The 7,544-nt window shown below is 44.8% G+C and overlaps 2 annotated features.

Moving 5' to 3' along the window:
- Positions 5,683 to 6,218: an enhancer, noted in NCBI's record as "H3K4me1 hESC enhancer chr1:230653241-230653776 (GRCh37/hg19 assembly coordinates)". NCBI's record gives its function as "activates a minimal SCP1, AML or CMV promoter by ChIP-STARR-seq in primed H9 embryonic stem cells {active_cell/tissue: H9 hESC(primed)}" and the evidence as "EXISTENCE:reporter gene assay evidence [ECO:0000049][PMID:30033119]".
- Positions 6,753 to 7,288: an enhancer, noted in NCBI's record as "OCT4-NANOG-H3K27ac-H3K4me1 hESC enhancer chr1:230654311-230654846 (GRCh37/hg19 assembly coordinates)". NCBI's record gives its function as "activates a minimal SCP1, AML or CMV promoter by ChIP-STARR-seq in primed H9 embryonic stem cells {active_cell/tissue: H9 hESC(primed)}" and the evidence as "EXISTENCE:reporter gene assay evidence [ECO:0000049][PMID:30033119]".

A 7,544-nucleotide genomic window follows, 5' to 3' on the forward strand; every position in this document is an offset into this window, starting at 1 on the left:
TTCCATGAGTTTGACTATTTTAGATTCATCATAAGTTGGGATCACATAGTGTTTGTCCCACTGTGACTGGTTTATTTTACTTGGCATGATGTCCTCCAAGTTCATCAATATTGTCACCAATGGCAGGACTTTCTTATTTTTCTAAGACTGAATAATATTCTATATTATATATACAGTACCACATTTTCTTTATCAGTTCACTCACGGGTGGACATTTAGGTTGCTTCTGTGGGCTGGCTATTGTGAATAATGTGCAATGAACAGGAAAATGTAGTTGTCTCTGAGATACTAATTTTTTTTTTTGAGATGGAGTTCCGCTCTTGTTGTCCAAGCTGGAGTGCAATGGCATGATCTCGGCTCACTGCAACCTCCACCTCCTGGGTTCAAGTGATTCTCCTGCCTCAGCCTCCTGAGAGCTGGGATTGCAGGCACCCACCACCAGGCCCAGCTAATTTTTTGTATTTTTAGTAGAGGCGAGGTTTCACCATGCTGGCTAGGATGGTCTCAAACACCTGACCTCAGGTGAGCTGCCCGCCTCAGCCACCCAAAGTGCTGGGATTAGAGGCATGAGCCATTATTCCTGGCCATGAAACTCTAATTTCAGTTCCTTTGGATATATACCCAGATATGAGATTGCTGCATTGTATTGTAGTTCTAGTTTTGATTTTTTTAAAAAAACCTCCATATTGTTTTCGATAGCAGCTGCACCAATTCACATTCCCCCTAACAGTGTATGGGGTTCCCTTTCCTCCACATCCTTGCCAACATTTCTTATCTTTTGTGTTTTTTAAATGTTATTTTAGATTTGGGGGTATATGTGCATGTTTGGTATGTGGATATACCAGTGGGGAGTGGGTTTCTAGTGTGCCCATTACTCAAATAGTGAACACTGTACCGGATAGATTATTTTTTAACCCTCATCCCCTTCCCACCCTCCCCTCTTTTGGAGACTCCAGTGTCTATTGTTTCCATCTTTATGCCGTGTGTATCCATTGTTTAGCTCCCACTTATAAATGAGAACATGCAGCATTTGATTTTCTGTCTCTGAGTTAATTCACTAAGGATAATGACCTCCAGCTCCATCTATGTTGCTGCAAAGGAAAGGATTTCATTCTTTTTTATGGCTGATACAGATCTATTTTCAACCGGGTAAAACACCAAAGCTCACTCTTTGCTTGTTAAACTGCATCTGAGTTTCCTTACACTACAATAGCAGCATCAGGGCATGTCACATCCAGTCCTGCCAGTGTGAGATTCCCAGCTCTTTGCTGTCCTCAGAAGGAGGAGGTGTCACTGAGCCACAGGAAGGAGTCTGGGGACCGCTCTCCATTTATGCATCTGGCTGACCCTCTCTGTGCCCATTTTCTTACAGGGTTAAGGTGCTTGAACACAGGTTACATGAAAGGCAGTAAAACCTTGAACAGAAAATCAGGCACAAGTACAGTGACTGCCGGTGTGGATTTAGAAACAAGGCTCCTGAAGAAAATGCTCCTAGCCACAGGCACTAGCACTGGCCTTACATGCACTGTATTAGTCCGTTCTCACATTGCTATAAAGAACTACCTAAGACTGGGTAATTTATAAAGAAAAGAGGTTTAGGCTGGGCATGGTGGCTCATTCCTGTAATCCCCACACTTTTGAAGGCCAAGGCAGGTGGATCACTTAAGGCCAAGAGTTCGAGACCAGGCTGGCCAACATAGTGAAACCCCAGCTCTATTAAAAACACAAAAATTAGCTGGGCATGGTGGTGCACACCTGCAGTCCCAGCTACTCGGGAGGCTGAGGGATGAGAATCACTTGAACCCAGGAGGTGGAGGTTGCAGTGAGCCGAGACCGCACCACTGCACTCCAGCCTGGGTGACAGAGTAAGACTCTGTCTCAAAGAAAAAAAAAAGAAAATAAAAGAAAAGAGGTTTAATTGACTCACAGTTTCACAGGGCTATGAAGCCTCAAGAAACTCACAGTCATGGTGCAAGGTGAAGGGGAAGCAAGGCATGTCTTACATGGTGGCAGGAGAGAGGGAGAGAGAGCAAGTGAAGGGGGAGGTACCACACATTTTTAAACAACTAGATCACGTGAGAACTCACTATCACAAGAACAGCATGGGGGAAATCCGCCCCCATGATCTAATCACCTCCCACCAGGTTCTTCCTCTGACATATGGGGATTACAATTCAATATGAGATTTGGGTGGGGACACAGAGCCAAACCATATCATGCACCCAAGACAAAACCAGTGTAGTAGAAGACAGCAACGGCTTGGAGACCGGCCAGTGTGGGTTCCAATGTAGGCCACGCAGTTTAGTGATTTGAGGAACCTTCTACCTCTGTGAAAATTAGTATGACTTCATAGGATTGCTGCAAAATTAAATGAGACAATGTATGTGAATGCTTAGTTCCTAACATGCAGTAAGTGATCATTAAAAATGAGCTGTCTCTGGCTGAATTGAGAGAGACAGAAAACAGGAAGCATTGGCAAGGGTGTGGAACACCAGATGCTCATACACTGCTGGGTGGGGTGTCCCTTGGTACCACCACTTTGGAACACTGGTGCTATGGTTTGAATGTCCCCTCCAAAACTTAGGTTGAAACTTGATCCCCAATGTGGCAATGTTGGGAGGTGGGGTCTTTAAGAGATGATAGGATCATGAGGGCTTTCATGAGTTAATGGGTTAGTGGATTAATGGGTTATCATGGGAGTGGGACTGGTGGCTTTATAAGAAGAGGAAAAGAAACCTGAGTTAGTATGCTGAGTCCCCTTGCCATGTGATGCCCTCTGCTACCTCAGGACTCTGCACAGTCTCCATCAACAAGAAAGCCCTCACCAATTACAGCCCCTTGACTTGAAGTTCTTAGCCTCCACAACTGCCAGAAATAAATTCCTTTTTTTTATACATTATCCAGTTTCATGTATTCTTACATAAGCAACAGAATATAGACTAATACAACAGGTTACTAAAGCTGAATTTATGCATCCCTCTGACCCAGAAGTTCCATTAATAAGTACAGACCCAACAGAAATGCATATAAATATGCACCAAAATGCATGTAAAAGAATGTTCAAAGCAACATTGTTCATATGGGGCAGACGTGAAAACCTCTTAAATGGGCATCAACAATAGAATAGATAAGCCATCTGTGGTGCAGTCCCACAATGCACTACCCAGCATCAAGGACAACAAACTGCATCCACAGACAACAGGGTTGACCCTCACAAACATATTTTTGAGCCAAGAAGCCACACACAAGAGGCATATAAAGAACAAAAGTGGGTGAGACTAACCCAGGAGGTTAGAAGGCAGGATCAAGAGAGGCCACCCTTGCTGGGAAAGGTGCCGGGGACTGTGGGCTGGGGGGCACCCATGTGAACTTCTGCTTCTTGATGTAGGTGCTAGTTACACAGGCAACTCTGTTGATAAAATGTATCAGGCTGTATACTTATTATGCTCTATGCAAATTTCTATATGTGTATTAAAATTCAATAAATGTTTTTAAAAAGAAGACATAGTTTAAAAAACTGGATATAGGATGTTCTGATGCTGCTGCTGAGGCATAAGGAGATTCTGATGCAGTTTAATAAGCAAAGAGTGAACTTTTGTGTTTTAGTTGGATGAAAGTTTACAAAAAATAGTGGGGTGTGATGGTGCACCTGTAGTCCCAGCTAGTTGGGAGGCTAAGGCAGGAGGATGGCTTGAGCCCTGGAGTTTGAAGCTGTAGTGTGCTATGATCACTCCAGACTGAGAAACACAGCGAGACCCTATTTCTAAAACAAAACAATTCTTTAGCTATTTTTAGTATCCCTCTCAGTATCACTCTGCTCAGGGGAGGACAGCAGGTTTGTATGTGCGGATGCATCCTCTTTGCAAATTCATTCAGCTCAGTTACACAGAACTCATGACATTTTCTCAAGATGACTAGCTGCTTTGGGTGATGCGCACAGGTTATTTGGGGGACGCAGAAATCTGTCACATTTGACCATCTCACCCCTGTGGCCAAAATAATCCGGAATCCCAGCTTGGTCTGGGCTGCACTCCCTGGGGGAAGAACTCAGAAAGGAAGGAGCTGTGTGCTCAGGTGACACCTCCTCCCTGGACTCTGTCCTGCCGCAGCACCTGCTGCCTTCAGCAGACCAGGCTGAGCTGTTCCCACTGAATGCACCCTTAGCCCTGTGCTCCACAAGGGGCCTGCAAAATGCAGGATCTCACTAAGCTTAAAGAAAACCAGGAATTTCAGAGACGAACAAGAAAGAGGAGTGCTCCTCTGAAGTGAATCAGTCCCTGCAATCCAGCACATATTCGACGAGGTATGCATGCAAGTGTGCTTTGTTTGAAGAGCCCTACTTTAAGATGGGAAATGTGTATGAGGACAGAGGAATCTTCCCGTTTACAGAACAATTCCCTTCTGCCTTCCCCCTTCCTTCCCTCTCATAGCTGGTTAAATGAAAGGGGCAGAAGACTTTCAAAGTGTGTTAAAAGCCAGTGTTCTAAATAAGCCATTTTTTTTTTCCTTTTAAAATGTTCTTTTTTGGTATTTGTTTGGCATGCCGTAGTCCTTGGTAAAATTCTTTCAGAAAATTTCAGGAGATCTCAATTTACTAAAGGGAAAGAGAATTGCCCCATGGCTTCATAATAGTAGAATTCAAAGTCAGAGAAATGGTGGCTTGGAAAACCTAAGGGAAAATGCTGGGGACATTTTCCTATATACACTTTTAAAGTTCAGAATAACATGCTCACAGAAAATTGCAGAAGTCAAAGTATATGGTTTGAGAAATATTCATGTAACCACCATCCAAATAGACAATTACCCTCCTCCCAGTCATGTCCATACCCTTCCAGCATTACAGATTAATTGTGCCTTGTTTTGAAATATCAACTAAAAGTGGGATCGCACCAAACGTATAATTTGTGATGGCTTCTTTTGCTCAATGTTATGCTGGTGGATTCACCACATTGTTAAGTATGGTAGCATTTCACTCACTTTTAATGCTGTCAAAAGAATGCATTTTTTTTCTTTCAAAGTGTTAATACTGGTTATCTCTAGGTGATGGAAGTTTCTTTTATCAATACATAATAGTTGTACATATTTTGGGGGTACATGTGACTTTTTGGATACCTGCATACAATGTGTAATGATCAAATCAGGGCAATTGGGATATTCATTACCGCAAACACTTCTCTTTATATTGGGAACATTCACAAGAATACATTTTTGACACGCATCCATTGCAATCCTGAGGCAGGCAGCCCGGGCCTCTCTGTGAGAGATACTGCACCAGACCCAGGCGGCACAGCTCACAGCCCTGTTCTTCGGGACCTTAGAATCACAACGGCAGAAAACATAAAAATAGCCCCTCAAGAACCAGAGCCAGGTCCTGAGTTTAACTGAGGTCAGGAGCAATTTTGCAACCCCCTGGCTATAATCTAAAGTAATGCTGTGGAGAAGCTAGAGGTTGGAAATTGCTTTTTTCCCCATGGGGTCAGCAATATCAAAATCCCGGAGGAAAGAAGGTGTGTGTGTGTTGTGTGTGTGTGTGTGTGTAAGTGAATGTGTATGTGTGTGAGCATGTGTGTGTGTGTGATGGGCTGAACAAAATTAATATGTTGAAGTCCTAACTCCTAGTACCGGAGAATGTGACTGTATTCACAGATAAGGTCCTTCAAGTGGTAATTAAATTAAAATGAGGTCATTAGGATAGGCCCTCATCCAACATGACTGGTATTCTTATAAGATGAACTGTGGACACAGACACACACAGAGGGAAGACAGTGTGAGGATGCAGGGAGAAGCTGACCATCTACCAGACAAGCACAGAGGACTCAGAGGAAGCCGATCCTGCCGACACCCGGACCTCAGACTTCCAGCCTCCAGAACGTGAGAGTCAATTCTTGTGATTTAAGCCACCCAGCGGGCCGGACTTTGTGATGGTCGCCTTGGCACATTGATACAGTGTGTGTGCATGCATGTGTTTCATCTTTTCTTACCAGACCTAAAATGTGCTTTGCAGGGAGCAGGAGCTTGGCACACCTGCGGAATGTAAGTGCTGTGTGTAATTGGTGACTCAGGCAGGAACAGGTGCTCACAACTGACATTCCCAGGCCCTCCTCTCCCACCTTGGTTTGGAGGCCTCCTCCAACCTGCACCTCACCCCCTCCTCTCTCAGCTGACTGCCAGCTGCCTGGACTAAGCTGGCTGAGCTGTGCCAAATTGAGTGGCAGCTCTGAACAGATGCAGGCCTGGCAGGCTCCCTGGGGGCATCTGGAGGGGAAAGAGAACCATCCTGAAATGGCAGGAAAAACACTTCTCCCTGGCAGCGCAGAGCAGATGGGGGTGGGGCAATTGCCAAACAGGCTTGAGAGAAACAAAAGATGCTTCATGCAATACGACTCAATTCAAAAAACGGAAACAAAACAGATTCATCTTCCTCACCATCAAAACTCTTTTGACAAATTGAATCAATGAATAGAATCTTTTCTCTTTTCTTTTTTCGCCCATGCTGGCCTCAAACATTTGGGCTCAAGAGATCCTCCTACTGAAGCCTCCCATGGAGCTGGGGCTGTAGGTACAAGCCACTGCACCTGGCTTCAACTAATAGAATCTTTATCCTAATTTCAGGTCCCTTTAAGAACAGCCAGTGAAAAGGGTAAGCAGGAGACTCACACTAGATGTGGTTGACATCTTGGATCAGTAAGGAAAGAGTAGCCAGAAGCAAGGGGAAAGGCGTATCCTTCCTCCTTTTGATGGTTTAGTTCTAATATGTATTGTGACAAACAACCTCAGGTGTTTGAGTGAATTTGTGGCTCTGTGGGAGGTTTTGTGTAAGAGTTCAGGCCCTCAGCTGACAGGTGCCCCCGAGGTCCCTCTATCAGCACGTTGTGTTAATAAGTAGCAGTGGCTTCTGTATGAAGAAAAGCCCCACCCCGGGCTCAGCCACTTGAGTTTTAAGAATGCGTAATCACTGCCTTTGTTTTCTACAAGAGAGCTGGCTTTAGGTTAGGTCAAAATTCCTGTGAAGTTAGGAATTTCTACATCCAAGTTAATCCTTACAAAGTGTGTTACTCTCCTCTGTACTCCTACAACCTCAGGATAACCTATACCTCTGAGATAGGAGTTCAGCGTCTGGTTTCACAAGATATAGGTCACAAAGACCCCGTGGATAAAACATGATGCTGTAAAGAAGCTGCCAAGGCCGGGTACGGTGGCTCACGCCTGTAATCCCAGCACTTTGGGAGACCGAGGCGGGCAGATCATGAGGTCAAGAGATTGAGACCATCCTGGCCAAAATGGTGAAACCCTGTCTCTACTAAAAATACAAAAATTAGCCGGGCACGGTGGCGGGTGCCCGTAGTCGCAGCTACTGGGGAGGCTGAGGGAGGAGAATCACTTGAACCCGGGAGGCGGAGGTTGCAGTGAGCTGAGATTGCGCCACTGCACTCCAGCCTGGCAAGAGAGTGAGACTCCATCTCAAAAAAAAAAAAAAAAAAAGCTGCCAAAACTGCCGAATCCAAGATGGCAATGAAAGCAACCTCTGGTCATCCTCACTGCTC

The sequence above is a fragment of the Homo sapiens genome, chromosome 1 (assembly GCF_000001405.40).
Source record: "Homo sapiens chromosome 1, GRCh38.p14 Primary Assembly".
Lineage (NCBI taxonomy): Eukaryota > Metazoa > Chordata > Mammalia > Primates > Hominidae > Homo > Homo sapiens.